Source organism: Homo sapiens, chromosome 5, assembly GCF_000001405.40.
Source record: "Homo sapiens chromosome 5, GRCh38.p14 Primary Assembly".
Classification (NCBI taxonomy): Eukaryota; Metazoa; Chordata; class Mammalia; order Primates; family Hominidae; genus Homo; species Homo sapiens.
In genome coordinates, this window is record NC_000005.10 from 32,292,663 (window position 1) to 32,309,030 (window position 16,368).

Consider the following 16,368-nt stretch of genomic DNA (forward strand, 5'->3'; position numbering starts at 1 on the left):
AATTAAGGTCAATGGGAAACGACAACAGCCCAGTCCAGGCAGGACTACAAATGGTCCAGACCCCTCAGGAATAAAGGTTTGGGTCACTCCACTAGGGAAAAAAAACCACGACCTGCTGAGGTGTTTGCTGAAGGCAAAGGGAATACAGAATAAGTAGTAGAAGAAGGCAGTCATCAATACCAGCTACGACCACGTGACCAGCTGCAGAAATGAGAACTGTAATTGTCATGAGTATTTCCTCCTTCTTTTGTTAAAAACATGTTTGTGCATATATACATGTTTTATTTCCTTTTCCTTTATCATATAAGATTTATTGACTTCATATCAGCATTTAAGTATTGTTAACTTTATGTAATGGTATTTGGGTTGGGGATTGGTGAGTTTCCAGTTGTATGAAGGATAGTTGTGTTATGTTAGGCGTAATTATGACCTTACTATTGTCTTTATTTGAAGATTATGTGTGATCTCAGGAGATGTGTATGGGTTCAAGTTGACAAGGGGTGGACTTGTGATGGTTAATACTGAGTGTCAACTTGATTGAATTGAAGGATACAAAATATTGATCCTGGGTGTGGTTGTGAGGGTGTTGCCAAAGGAAATTGACATTTGAGTCAGTGGGCTGGGAAAGGCAGACCCATTCTTAATCTGGTGGGCACAGTCTAATCAGCTACCAGTGAATATAAAGCAGGCAAAAAAAAGGTGAAAAGGCGAGACTGGCCTATCCTCCCAGCCTACATCTTTCTCCCATGCTGGATGCTTCGTGCCCTGAAACATCAGACGCCAAGTTCTTCAGTTTTGAGACTCTGACTGGCTCTCCTTGCTCCTCAGACTTGCAGACAGCCTGTTGTGGGACCCTGTGATCATGTAAGTTAATACTTAATAAACTCCAGATATATATAGGAGATATATATCCTATTAGTTCTATCCCTCTAGGGAATCCTAATACAGGCTAACACTCACTTTCTCGGGCTCTTCTTGGTCAAGTCTCCCTTCTGGGCAGGGTCCTCTTACTTCCTCACAAACCCTGTGTTCCCTGGATGAGCTCTCTCACTCAAAGGTGTTTCAACAGTATAGGCTGATGATCCCCAAGTGGTACTTCACTCCAGATCTGCCTTCAGAGCTGTAGGCCTGGACACCTCAACAGCCTCCTGGCCACCTGCACCAGAATGTCCCTCATATCCTTCAAATTGACATTTCAAAATCAGCTCATCGCCACCCCTTGCCAAATCTAATGCTCTGAGCTCTGGTTCAGGACCAGCCATCCAGCTGGCCACACCAGAAACCTGAGAGTCACTCTTACCTACTCCCTGCCTCTCACAGCCTGTGCTCTGCTCCATATTGCCCACGTCTATCCATTCCTGTTGTCGCTCTGACTTTGGGCCACCATCATTTCCTAGCTCGCATGCTCCCGACTGCCAGTCGCACTGCCTCCAACTGGCCCCTACTGCATCCTCTGGGACCACCCAACCCACTGTCTCCACTCCTGTCCATCCAACTCACTGTCAAATCCACTGTCCACACAGTTCAGGTCCTGTGAGGCTTTCTGTGGTCAAAACTCTCTCCATCAGAACACTGAGGTGCCCCTTTGCTAGATACCCAAACCACACTCTGTATATGCCTCCAGAACAGCACTTTTCCTTTTTTCCTTTTTTTTTTTAAAGACAGAGTCTCCCTCTATCCCCCATGCAGGAGTTCAGTGGCACAATCTTGGCTCACTGCAACTTCTGCCTCCCAGGTTCAAAAGAGTCTCATTCCTCAGCCTCCTTAGTAGCTGGGATTACTGGTGCCCACCATCACATCTGGTTAATTTTTTTTTTTAGTAGAGACAGGGTTTCACCACGTTGGCTAGGCTGGTCTTGAACTCCTTACCTCCAGTAATCTGCCCACCTTGGCCTCCCAAAGTGCTGAGATTACAGGTGTGAGCCACCGCACCTGGCCAAGCATAGCACTTTTCACGCTGAACTGCAAGAGTCTCTTACCTTGTCTGTCTTGCCAACCAATGATACAAACTGAGGGCTGAGGCTGTACCTTTATGGATTTTTAGCCTCAACTTCTAGCATATAATTCCTGACAAGACAGTAAATTGTCAGTAAGTCTGCTGAAAGAATGGACACATGAAAACATACATAGAGACAATAATTCTTGATCCGGATAATATTCTTCAATCCTATGCATAGCTCTTGTGAAATTAACAAAATTGCTCTATTAAAAATTCCTACCTAAGTGTATTAGTGCCAAGTATCACCGAACTATTGTCACATTCTTCCCTTAGCTGGCTTCCAGAAACACATTCTGGTCTCACTAATAGAGTAGGGGCATAGCCAAGGTCAGACTTTTAATTTGGAGCTTTCTCACTGAGAATACAGACTAAAGACTGAATGAATCCATCTACTATCCAGCTGTAGGAAGCTAAAAACCAAAACAGGATTTGTTTCCTGAAGCTGATTCCCAAGGCTGCTGGTACCCCACTCCTGGCCAGAAGGCTTGGCTCCCTCCGAGCAGGCCTGACTAGCAGGCTCATTCCCCATGCTTCTGAAAGCATGACAGGAGGCAGCTTTGCTGCTGACCACAGCTCTATTCCACTAGCTATATACTTTCGGCAGTTACAAGCAACAATTACTCTGACAACAAACCAAGAGAACAGCATCTGAAGCCAGGGAGGCAGACATGCAGTAAGAGGCTAACTGACAACGTCTGGTCTCAAGGTAACAAACCACATACACAAATTCAACCTGGTACCTGGTCTTTCAGTATTCTGCTGTTTACGCGTTATGCAAATCAGTTCTCAGCCCTAAAATGGACAAGCTGAGTATTCTTAATCCAAACATGACACTCAAGGGATTTTGGATTTTCAGATTAGAAATACTCAACCTGTATTCATTTCAGAGGGCTACTTGGAAACTCAACAGAGCATTTCAGACTACGAATCTATTATCCACAATGATATATGCCTAAATTAAACACATAAAAATATGTCATAGGAGTTTACTATGTCCACTTTCAATGTCCTATGTCACTTATCTTGACAACAATCTGTATGGTATTTTCATCCCCACTTTACAGATAAGGCCAATGAAGCACTAAGGGTTTAAATAATAAACCCAGGTTCACAGAACTAAATAGATGGTAAAGCCAGAACTCAGTATCAATTCTGACACCAAGCTTACACTTTTGAACTTTAAACTCTGTCTTTGTAAAAGCTTTATTAAGGCTGGGCATGGTGGCTCATTCCTGTAATCCCAGCATTTTGGGAGGCCAAGGCGGGCAGATCACCTGATGTTAGGAGTTCGAGACCGGCCTGGCCAATATGGTGAAACCCCATCTCTACTAAAAATACAAAAAAAAAGTTAGCCGGGCATGGTGGCACATGCCTGAAATCCCAGCTACTAGGGAGGCTGAGGCAGGAGAATTGCTTGAACCCAGGAGGTGGAGATTGCAGTTAGCTGAGATCACGCCATTGCATTCCAGCCTGGACGATGAGGCAAGACTCTGTCTCAAAAAAAAAAACAAACACTTTATTAAGATATAATTGAGGTCAGACACAGTGGCTAACGTCTGTAATCCCAACACTTTGGGAGGCCGAGGGTGGGAGGATCTCTTGAGCCCAGGAGTTCGAGATCAGCCTGGGTAACATAGTGAGACCTTGTTTTTACAAAAAATGAACAAAATTACCTGGGCATGTTGTGTGTACCTGTAGTCCCAGCTACTTGGGAGGCTAAGGCAGGAAGATTGCTTCAGCCCAGGAGGTTGAGGCTGGAGTGAGCTGAGATCACACCACTGCATTCCAGTCTGGGCAACAGAGCAAGACCTTGTCTCCAAAAAAAGAAACGAGAAAAAAAAAGGTGTAATTGGCTGGGCATGGCGATTTACACTTTGCCTGTAATCCCAGTACTTTGGAAGGGTGAGGTGGTGGGGGAGTGGGGATTGCTTGAGGCCAGGAGTTTGAGACTAGCCTGGGCAACACAGTGAAACCTGTCCCTACCAAAAAAAAACTTAGGAACAGTAACACGTGCCTGTAGTCTCAGCTACTCAGTAGGCTGAGGTGGGAGGATCCCTTGAGCCCAGGAGTTGAAGGTTGCAGTGAGCTATGATCATGTTACTGCACTCCAGCCTGGGTAACAGAGGAAAACATTCTCTTTAAAAAAAAAAAAAAAAAGTGGCCGGGCGCGGTGGCTCACGCCTGTAATCCCAGCACTTTGGGAGGCCAAGGTGGGCGGACCACAAGGTCAGGAGATCGAAACCATCCTGGCTAACATGGTGAAACCCCGTCTCTACTAAAAAATACAAAAAATTAGCTGGGCGTGATGGCGGGCGCCTGTAGTCCCAGCTACTTGGGAGGCTGAGGCAGGAGAATGGTGTGAACCTGGGAGGCGGAGCTTGCAGTGAGCCGAGATCGCGCCACTGCACTCCAGCCTGGGTGACAGAGCGAGACTCCGTCTAAAAAAAAAAAAAAAAAGATATAATTTACCAACCATGTAATTCACCAAAGTATTTAATATAATGTTTAACAATATAAAGTGTTGAAATGGTATTCAGTATATTCATAGTTGTACAATCATCACCACAATCAATTTTAGATCATTTTCATCATCCCAAAAGGAATATTCTAAGGCAAAGCACCTCATACCAAAGCTGACCTGTTATTCCCCACTCAATCCCTCTGTTTACATTGTACCTCTAACCCTAGGCAACCACAAATCTTCAACTTTTTTCCTATTACAAAGTAATACCTACAAATGTTCTTTCAGTTGTAACAAGTCTCCAGGGCAGGGGAACAGGCAATGACCTTGGACAATTCATTACCCCCAACAGCTAAGCAATACTTATTCACTTGGCCATTCTAAATCCTTTTCTTCACATTTAGACCCTGCTTTTTTCCTGACCTCAGGTTTTTTTTTTTTTTTTGAAGGAAGAGAGTATCTGCTCATTAAGATGCAAACTAAATTCCTCACTCTGTTTTGACAGCTCATCATTTCTTGAAGTGCAGTGAAAGCATTACTCATTTATGATTCTTAGCAAGGATCACTCTCACCAGGCATTCACTAGGCCTTTAAACAATCCCAATACCTCATTAAACTCTCCCTATTAAAGAAAGAAATAAATAAAACTTACATTAGAAAATAAATGTTAGGACCCAAATACCAGTATAAGCCTCAGATCCCACAGACCTGATCTCACCAAACAGTTAACTGGCTTGATTCTCTTATTATCGGTGAACCACACCCAAAGACGGTTGGCAAGCTTGATGGGATAAGGACCTGCCTCAGGAAGCAAAAGGTCACAAAGAAAAGAAATGGCTAGAGGCAGAGGCCTCCCAAATCCAAGCTAATGCTCCTTCAACAGAACCAGAAGCAGGCAGGATCTTGGCTGTGCCTTGAAAGCTAGTTAGGATTTGGATCAGTGGAAGGGGCAAGAAGCGTGGAGGGCTCTTAAATGGGAAGATGACAACATGAAGGCCGCGTTCAGCAGAAGGCTGGCTGTGGTGTGTGGGCATCTGGGGGTGGTGCAGACGGGGAGCAGTGGGAAGTGGAGAGGCCAGTCAAGCTCTTGTGGTAGGTGGTTGCATGCACCAGGAGATGCTAGACAGAAGGTGGCCATGGAAACACAGACGGATCACCACAGAGGGCCCCACAAAGGGCACAGTGGGGGCTGTGATTGGTTGGGCATATGAGTGATTAGGGAAAGAAGGGTGCTGTTGGCAGAAGCTGGGAAGGCTCACTTGAAAGGAGAGAGAAGCCAAGCTGAATTGCAGGTATCAAGCTCTGGACTTAACATACTGCCCAAACCCCAAGTCCTCCTAGAAGCCCTTGAGACAGATGAAGATACTGTTACAGGACAGAAAGGAAATCCATGAAACGACTCACTGAAAAAGAAAACTGTGCAGGAAGGGAGGCCCTCCAGGTAGACTGTAAAGGTACCCATGGTGGGTATGGCAGTCCTATAAGAGGGACAGCATGCCTGGCTCCAGACACACACTTAGAGTGCCAGAGAAGAACAATGCTGAGGCCAGGCGCAGTGGCTCACGCCTGTAATCCCAGCACTTTGGGAGGCAGAGGCGGGCGGATCATGAGGTCAGGAGATCGAGATCATCCTGGCTAACACAGTGAAACCCCGTCTCTACTAAAAATACAAAAAAAAAAATTAGCTGGGCGTGGTGGCAGGCGTCTGTAGTCCCAGCTACTCTGGAGGCTGAGGCAGGAGAATGGCACGAACCCGGGAGGCGGAGCTTGCAGTGAGCCGAGATCGCGCCACTGCACTCCAGCCTAGGCGACAGAGCGAGACTCCATCTCAAAAAAAAAAAAAAAAAAAGAACAATGCTGGAAAGAAATGAGGTCAAGTCTTGCCACAATCAGGACCTGCACTGGTGGCCCAAAGAACACACACATGAATGCGCACACACACACACATACACATACACACACACGCACACACACACACATACCTGCAGCTTCTGGGGTGGTGAGGAATAATAGCAACTAAATAACATTTAATAAATGTTCACTACCTGCTAGGTACTGTGTAAACAGCTTTCCACAGATTGCATCACTTAAGACTAACAGCAACCTTACGGGCTTTTATTTTATTCCCATTTCACAGATCAGAAAACTGAGGCTCAGAGAAGTTAAACACCCAGCCCAAATTCACCATTAGCAAGTAGGAAGCCCTGTGTGACACCAAAGCCATGCTCTTAACTACCACATTATACTGAAAGTAAAGATTGTTGTGCTGGGATATGTACAAGTGCCAGAAAAAAGGTGTCAGGTGGCAGTTATGGGGCTGTCACTGCTTTATGATTTAAGCTAACGGATGTGACTGACAGCAGCTGCAGAGACACATGGCATTGCCATCTGTGCCTCCCCTTCTACCACCGCCTCCAAAACTGCTCTATAAACATTAAGTTAGGGGAAGAGCTGGGAGAAGTTAAAAGGCTTGGAGCAGGAAGAAGGCAAGAGGAACCAGGGACAGATGAGAGGTGCCCACAGGCTCACTAAGGGCCAGACTGATCTATGGTACAGCAGCATGTCACAGAAAGAAGGAATCCTCATAGAATCTTGGAGATACTCCTGCAGGTCCGAGCAGCGACCCTTGGATTCTATTCCTCAAGACTTCTCTCTCACCATCACACATGTGTGCACACACCTTACATAAGAGATGGGGAAAGATGTCACCCAGTCCTAACACAGCTATGAGCCTTTCACACCCCTCTTGCCTGCTTGCTACATTATCCCCCTCCTCCCCACACCAAATCCCGCTTTAATGTCGACCTTTCCAAGTCCTACACAGCTTTTGCATAAGACCAGATGCTGCCTTGGGTTCTGCAGTGGGTCTTGCTCTGTGCCCCCAGAGCACTTGGGCATGCCTCCCTCATAAGTAGGCAGCTCCGACCTCTGTGCAGAGAACTCTGGTGACCAGCCATCTCCCCAAGAGAAGGTGAAGCTCCTGAGTGCACAGACTGTTTCTTTGCATTCCTAATTTTAATAGTGCTTAGCAAATGGTAGATACATAAAAATGTTGCTTAAATAACAAATCTTCCAGTTCAAGTTATTAATAATAACAGCACCTAGCAGTTGTTGAGTATCTGCCATGTGTCAAGTCCTTAGCTGGGTTTATATGGTTTATTTCTTCTCATCCTCTAAATCAGCCTGCAGGGAAGACACCTATTCACGTTACAGGTAAGAAAAGGAAGTCTCGGATAGGTGAAGTTACATGTCTAAGGTCACCACCAAGTGGCTGAGCCTGGATCAGAACTTTGCAAAATCAAAGTCTCTTCCACAATGCTATGGCACCTTGTTTCCATCCCCAGACTCCTACTGTGGTTGGTTTATTCCTCAGTTGCTCCTCTGTAACAGGACCAGACACAGAGACAGCCACACCCTCACCACACTGAGGGCCTCTCTCATGCACCCCAGAGCTCCCATACCCCCTCTCTGTCTGCCACCCAGATTACATCTGCCATACTTACTGCGCTCCTCAGGTACTACTTATAGGTACATCAGGTTCTTCCTGTCACCCTTTTAGCATAGATCATCTTTATTCAGCAGGTAGCAGAAAGTGATCATTAAAACAAAAAGAGAAAAAGCAGCCACTTCTCTTCTCCAGAACGTAAAGCTGCATAAAGAGATTTGTAGGGGCCAGGCACAGTGGCTCACACCTCTAATCCCAGCACTCTGGGAGGCCAAGACGGGTAAATCACCTGAGGTCAGAAGTTCAAGATTAGCTTGGCCAACATGGTGAAACCCCATCTCTACTAAAAATACAAAAATTAGCCGGGTGTGGTGGCATGCGCCTGTAGTCCCAACTACTCAGAAGGCTGAGGCAGGAGAATCGCTTGAGCCTGGGAGGTGGAGGATGCAGTGAGCCGAGATCTCGCCACTGCACTGCAGCTGGGTAACAGAGCAAGACTCCATCTCAAAAAAAGAAAGAAAAAGATTTGTAGGGCAAGTGAACTTGAAGCTAAACTAGGCAAGCTGGGGTGGGGCTGGGGGCTGCAGACAGATGACAGGTAGGTAGGTAGGTAAAGAGTGAAAAAAGAGGGGCCAAGAGAATACATTTGGGCATCAAAGGAGAAGGCACAAAGTATAAACACTGAGGCCAGCCCAGGAGTCCCTCAGAGATAAAACAGGGGTACTTGCTGATGCCAAACAACTCATCCCTGGGATCTGAACCCCAGATTCCCTTCTTTAACTAGCAAGATACCCAATACCACAGACTGACTGACCCCCTAGGGAAAGTGCTATTCCCAGTGGTTTGCATAGACAGGAGGCAAATATTCACGGGGAGACCAAGAGTGAAAGAGAATCATTACTTCTTCCAAGGACAGGGACACATTGGGAAGTTGATCTCAAGGGATTCAATTTTATGTTTGGAGGAACATAGATTTTTTTATTTGAAAAACAGGACTCATTCACTTCAAGTGTTCTCAAATACTTCAATACTCTTAGCAAAGGCTGGGCGCAGTGGCTCATGCCTGTAATCCCAGCACTTTGGGGGGCCGAGGTGGGTGGATCACCTGAGGGTAGGAGTTTGAGACCAGTCTGGCCAACATGGCGAAACCCTGTCTCTACTAAAAATACAAAAATTAACCGGGCATGGTGGCACACCCCTGTAACCCTAGCTACTCAGGAGGCTGAGATACCACAAGAATCGCTTGAAACTGGGAGGCAGAGATTGTGCCACAGCACTCCAGCCTGGGTGACAGAGACTACTCCATCTCAAAAAATAATAATAAAAATAAAAATAAACAAAAAATAAAAAACAAACAAAAAAACTCTTAGCAAAAGCAAAAAAACAAAAACAAAAACAAAAAACAAAAAACATTGTCTGAAACAGGAGCTGGCAATCTGTCACAAGAGGAAGGTCATCTTCAACATATTTCATCACTGTGGCCAGGGCTTCCCTTGCCCCCACTTATACATAAGCCCTATCTTACGGCTGAAATCCCTCCCTTCCCAAAACAACTGAGGTTTTGCATGCCACCTCTGAAAGCCTGTGCACCAGCCAGGCCTATAGGAAATGAAGGACAGGGTACGAGAGGGAAAAGTGATGGCTATTATTTTAGGAAAAGCATTTAAATATGAAATCAAAACAGCATGGTTTTACAACTGCCTTTGAAATAAAGAGAGTATTAGTTTCAGAGACAATTTGATTTTATTTATGCTAGTTATGATTTTACTTGATTTGATTTACTCATATCTTAAATGAACCACTAAAGAGATGTGATAAATGGACAAAATTTAACCTTTGAAGAGAGACCATTAGAAATTAGGAAAGAGGGGCTGGGTACGGTGGCTCACGCCTGTAATCCCAGCACTTTGGGAAGCCGAGGTGGGTAGATCACAAGGTCAGGAGTTCGAGACCAGCCTGACCAACATGGTGAAACCCCGTCTCCACCAAAAATACAAAAATTAGCCAGGCATGGTGGCACGAGCCTGTAATCCCAGCTACTTGGGAGGCTGAGGCAGGCGAATCGCTTGAACCCGGCAGGCGGAGGTTGCAGTGAGCCAAGATCATGCCAATGCACTCTGCACTCCAGCCCAGGCGACAGAGCAAGACTCCGTATAAAAAAAAAAAAAAAATTAGGGAAGAGGGAAGAAAAATAAGTCCACACAATGAAACTAGCAAAATGTCAAAGGCCAAATGTTAATAATGAAAAAAGTCAATAACTAAGTGTTCTCATTACATTGGAATTTTAAATATAACCAAATCATTCGCAAATGTATAAAGGAACAAGGAAAAGAAACTTTTAGAGATAGCAAAAAATTTTCTAAGAAAGAGTTACCACACAAGGAACTTTCCTGGCATGACAACATGGCAACAATCACAACAAAATACTCCCCTTTTATTAATACCTTAGCTGGGAAAGATTTATGCACTCTTAAGATTAATGATTAAGCACTTTCTGAAGCCATCCAAGTGGCTCTGACGAAACTTCTGAATAACAACAATAATGGCCCACATCTCTTAAAGGTTAACTACATCTAAGTATCCTGTGCTAGGGGCTTTACATGCATAATGGCATTTGATATTAATAAATGTTCATACATGTCTATTATATAACATGGACATATCATTATTCCCATTTTCGAGGTAGAAATATAACTGAAGCTTAAAGGAACTGGCATTACAGCTAGTATGAAGAGCTACTGACAAGCTCTTGCTTTCCTTAGAGTTGCGATACGGGAGGTAAGCAAAGGGGAATAAAGGAAGGGTGAGGCCCTGAGGCCTTTCCATCTCTCCCAGCACTGTACTCCCCCCCAGAATCCCTCTCTATTTCCACCTCCCCTATTCCTCCTCCCAAAGCCAACAGGAGATTAGAGATTAAAAGAATTATTTCAGTTCAATCCTGCCTCCCAATCTCAAGAGGTTTATTTCAAATGATTCATTTTGAAAGCTTAGAAGACGTTTACATAGCACTCATCCATCATAAACTTGATTCAGTGAGAATAAACTCATGGTGCTAGGCTGAGACAACTTTGGCTTATCAATGTTGCTGAATTTGTAGTTGATCAAAACTCCATCTACCAGGGATGTCTACCACTGCTTTTTTATAAACCTCATGTAGGCCCCCACAGGTGGCTACCGTGGGCATCATCCTAACAAAGCCAAGATCTCAGCTTGAGCCCTTTTCAGAACCTGCATGTTCTCTTGTCAATGGCTACAAACTCACTGCCCTCTTTGCCATCTCAAAAAAAAAAAAAAAAAAAAAAAACCACAACACATCAGAAGTCACAAGCACAACTTGATGAGAAACTGAGAGTGGGTATTTACTGGAAAAACTTAACCTATATAATCTACCAATATGGATCAAGCATAATATCTTCACACATGACAACCACATGTAGGCTATAAATTTTTACACAATTACAAATGCAACCATAGGCCGGGCGCAGTAGCTCACGCCTGTAATCCCAGCACTTTGGGAGCCGAGGCGGGCGGATCACAAGGTCAGGAGATCAAGACCATCCCGACTAACACAGTGAAACCCTGTCTCTACTAAAAATGCAAAAATCAGCCAGGCGTGGTGGCACGTGCCTGTAGTCCCAGCTACTCGGGAGGCTGAGGCAGGAGAATCGCTTGAACCCAGGAGGCAGAGGTTGCAGTGAGCCAAGATCGCGCCATTACACCTCAGCCTGGGAGACAGAGTGAGACTCCGTCTCCAAAAAAAAAAAGAAAAGAAAAGAAATGCAACCATATGAGATACACACTCACGAACAAAACACAGACATACTTATAAATGGAATCATTGCTTTGGTTAAGGTACCATCATTGGCACTTTTATTTTTCTAACTTCCAAACTCTGCAACTTTACTATATTGTCTTTATCATAATAAGGTATACATTTTTTTGTAGCAATAGGAAGTTTTTTAGCCCTTATGATAATGGAATTTTCTCCAAAGCACACCATCACATAGGGTGGTTTAATGTGGAAGAACACCCAACATCCTGTTTAAGATGTTTAGAGAAAGATCCAGAACTTTAAACTTCTAAGTGTGGGGTCCCCACAGCCTAAAATTCTGATGGTAGCCCTGATTTTAACGTTCGAGCTAGAAGTAGGGTGCAGAAGTATGTGCTCTTAGACAGTGGCTGTCCATGTGGCAGCTGTTTGATCAGGCTGCAGGAAGTGCTGCTTGACAGAGCCTCATGATGCTTTCTGAGGCTCCATCTGCAGAAGTTGTGTGGTGTTGGATAAGACTCAGGGAGATGCTGCAGGAAGCACGGGCAGGAGAGAAAAAGCAGAAGCTTTGGACAGATCATCGGGCTAAAGCCACAGCTAAGAAAGTGACCATCTCTGGAGAGACCTTTAATGTCTTCTGATGGCCTACCAATGACCTCCACGCTCAAAGAGAAAATTCTGCAATTAAGAAATTAGCTGGGTGAGTTCTGGGAGATTTTAAAAAATTAGTTGAGAATGGAGAAAAGGCTATGAATTCTTTCTTTTTTTTTGAGACGGGGTCTTGCTCTGTCGCCCAGGCTGGAATGCAGTGGCGCGATCTTGGCTCACTGCAACCTCTGCCTCCTCGGTTCAAGAGATTCTCCTGCCTCAGCCTCCTGAGTAGCTGGAATTACAGGCGTTCGCTACCACGCCCGGCTAATTTTTGTATTTTTAGTAGAGATGGGGTTTCACCATATTGGCCAGGCTGGTCTCAAACTCCTGACCTTGTGATCCACCCACCTCGGCCTCCCAAAGTGATGAGACTACGTGTGAGCCACCGCTCCTGGCCAGGTTATGAATTCTTAAAAAAAGAAGGCAAAGGATCTAGACTTTGTTTTTAAAGTTATCTTTACCGCTAGGACTAAGGCAGGAGGTCTGTTTAAGACAAGCCAATCTCTTCTTGTTATCATCTATCCGCCAAAGACATCAAAGTTAGTGGTCCAATAAAAATCATCCCAATAATTTCATCTTTTCTGCAAACTGATGTATCCCCACTCAATACCTAGAACAATATCTGGGATACCGCGGCCGGGCGCGATGGCTCACGCCTGTAATCCCAGCACTTTGGGAGGCCAAGGCAGGTGGATCACCTGAGGTTGGGAGTTCGAGACCAGCCTGACCAACGTGGAGAAATCCTGTCTCTACTAAAAATACAAAATTAGCAGAGTGTAGTGGTGCATGCCTCTAATCCCAGCTACTCGGGAGGCTGAGGCAGGAGAATTGCTTGAACCCGGGAGGCGGAGGCTGTGGTGAGCCGAGATTGCGCCATTGCACTCCAGCCTGGGCAACAAGAGTGAAACTCCGTCTCAAAAAAAAAAAAAAATCTGGGATACCGCAAGTGCTGAGTAAATATGTGCTGAACTAATTAATTCTATCTTTCAAAAACACCAGCTCTAGAGATGAAAACAACCAAGAGATCCCTGTATCTGCTCAGCAGTTACCTGGTTGACAATCTAGCAAAAGCCAAAAAAGAAATTGCTACTAGAGAACACTACTAAGGAAGTACTCTAGTGTACAAAGGCTAATCATGATATAAGCATGTTTCACTAGTAATATTCCTTACATTCATAAATGTAAGAATAAGAGAATGGGCCCCGAGATCAGACTGCTCTAGTTTAAACCCTGGGACAAACTCCATGACCCTAAACAAGGTACTCAACTTCTGAGTCTCAGTTTCCATATCTAAAAACAAAAAAGATGGGTAATAATAGTATTCCCTTCATGAAACTTGTTGAAAGGGGAAAATGAGATATGCGTAGTTCCTGGAACACAGAAGTGCCTAATAAATACTAGTAATTATTCATTTTCATTTTGTATATACCCACAGTCATATCTCTGGGAAGACTACAGGATCATATATTCACTTCTCCTGACCAAAAGAAATGGCCTTAAATAAGAACTAGGCAACAGAATACATTTTTTCCTGAGGGATAAATGAAAAAATAAAAAAATAGCTATTAACACCATATATATATATTTTTTACTCTTCTCAATCTTCATCTCTCTTGACTTTTCTTCCCACATGTAAATAAAACCTTTCCTGAGCTCATGTGACCCTGGTTTAGCACTGGCACTGCTGGCTAGTAGGAGAGAGTTTTTATCTCTGTTCTGCAATAACACTGTGTCCGTGGGCAAGATATTAAACTTTACAGGGCCTCAGTTTGCACATCTGTATGATGGAGGATGAGTATAATGGAGGCAGAGTATATTATCTTTAAATTCTCTTCCAAAGCTAAAAATCCACAAATAAGTGCCCGTTAACTATTATTAGTTCATTCAGGTCAAACACTGACCTAAACTCTTAGAAAGTATATTTTAGCCCTTGTACCCACAAAATGGGTACAAGTACAGCCACCCTCTGAAAGCTAAATTTTGCCTGGCCAGTTTCAAAGGTCTAATTTTAATGACATTGTGGGATAGCAACTGACATGGAAAGATGTTTACAATATACATTTTTGGTGAAAAAGGCAGATTACAAAATATGATCAGCAATATTAATCCCAATTTGGTTAAAATATATATATACCTACACATATATCTGCTTGAAGTGTACAGAATACACTCCGAGTTGTTTATGTTTATAATCGTTCTTTAAAAAATGTTTTCGCTTATCTGTACCTTTATTTTTCTACAAAGAATGCTTATGGCTTCTGAAATAATTCAAACAGGTGTTTTATTTAACAAGAAAGATGGATTTGGTACCCAAACTATAACCATATCCCTCCCTAGAGCAGAGCTCAGCACCCAGCAGGTCCCCCGACAGAGGCACCGACATCCTTTGCACCCTGTGTCTGGGGCTGGGCTGGGGTGGGGGTGCTGCGATGTTTTTAGGTACCAGCCATCAGGTACCATCAAGATGGCCCCAGATCCCTCCCTCCTATTCATCTCAACTTTCAGAGCCATCAGCTGCCCACTTAACTAGCTTTACCAACATGTAATCCCCTGAGCAGAGTTTTCAAAACATAATCAAAGGTCCAAAATTATGGTCCTATATACAAAATTATGGTTTTAACTGTCACATTCACTGATTTAGAATAATCAAGGATAGAAGAATCCATTTTACTCTGGCAGCAATCCAATTTTAAAAGTCAGAGTTAACTACTCGTCCTCATTTTACGCTGTCCGATGCCAGTCCTTTCTGATCATGAGGAAAAAAAAATAAGCTCACCGTGTTTAAAAGCATAATCTTAAAATACTTTATCCAGTTAAGCACTTTTGTTTCCACCACAAAGTGCTGACTCTTGACAGATTCTCTGGCATACTGAAGGCCACCACTGCTGAACCTATCTGATTAGCCAAGAACAAGCTTATCACCAGGTACAGGTATCATTACATCATAAGGTATAAAGGTTGTTCTGGCAGCTCAGTCATCTACCAACAAACAGGTGTCTAAGAAACTGAGATTTCCCAGCTACCAAAACCCATATGAAGAAATAAGCAACAGTTGGCTGGGTGGGGTGGCTCACGCCTGTAATCCCAGCACTTTGGTTGGCCAAGGTGGGCGGGTCACGAGGTCAGGAGTTCGAGACCAGCCTGGCCAATATGGTGAAACCCCATCTCTACTAAAAATACAAACATTAGCTGGGTGTGGTGGTGCACGCCTGTAGTCCCAGCTACTCAGGAGGCTGAGGCAGGAGAATCGCCTGAACCTGGGAGGCGGAGGTTGCAGTGAGCCAAGTTCATGCCACTGCACTCCAGCCTGGGTGACAGAACGAGGCTCCATCTCAAAAAAAAAAAGAAAGAAGCAACAGCATGACATACACCAAGGCAGTTCAGAGAAAGGCAACATGAGGGAAAGCAGTGTAGGAAATAGGAGAGAACAGTTCAGAAGAGTGTCCTGAGGAACTCCTCCCACTGGGTAAGCCAAGAGAAGGTTACCAGACCCAGGGCTCTCAGAAGCACATAAGCCATGCCTCGATGTTGCTCACCTGCATTTCCCGTAATATGATTACCTGGCAAAACCTATATACTTAAAAATACATTGCCTTCTCACCCCTTCCTACCTTTATCTTCTTTTTTTTTTTGAGATGGAGTCTCACTCTGTCGCCAGGCTGAAATGCAGTGGCGTGATCTTGGCTCACTGCAACCTCTGCCTCCTGGGTTCAAGGGATTCTCCTGCCTGAGCCTCCCGAGTAACTGGGACTAACTACAGGCACACACCACCACGCCCAGGTAATTTTTGTATTTTTAGTAGAGACGGGGTTTCACCATGTTGGCCAGGATAGTCTGGATCTCTTGGCCTCATGATCCACCCACCTCGGCCTCCCAAAGTGCTGGGATTACAGGCGTGAGCCACCACGCCCGGCCTTACCCTTATCTTTTAAAAAACCATCCACAATTTAGGACAGAGCCTTATCCTCTGTTACAAAACATGTTTAGAGTCAGACTACAACAACGAGGCATAGTGTCTGCACAGCATTATTTTAATGCAAGAA

General features: G+C 44.4%; 1 protein-coding gene across 3 annotated transcripts in view, besides 2 other annotated features; it reads right to left on the bottom strand.

Annotated features, from left to right (window-relative positions):
• MTMR12 (myotubularin related protein 12) overlaps positions 1-16,368 on the bottom strand; it is an 85,933-nt gene that overhangs the window by 65,656 nt on the left and 3,909 nt on the right. The gene's annotated exons all lie outside the window — the stretch shown is intronic.
• Positions 5,414-5,503: an enhancer, noted in NCBI's record as "active region_22442". NCBI's record gives its function as "activates an Ori minimal core promoter by ATAC-STARR-seq in GM12878 lymphoblastoid cells {active_cell/tissue: GM12878}" and the evidence as "EXISTENCE:reporter gene assay evidence [ECO:0000049][PMID:35858748]".
• Positions 5,564-5,693: an enhancer, noted in NCBI's record as "active region_22443". NCBI's record gives its function as "activates an Ori minimal core promoter by ATAC-STARR-seq in GM12878 lymphoblastoid cells {active_cell/tissue: GM12878}" and the evidence as "EXISTENCE:reporter gene assay evidence [ECO:0000049][PMID:35858748]".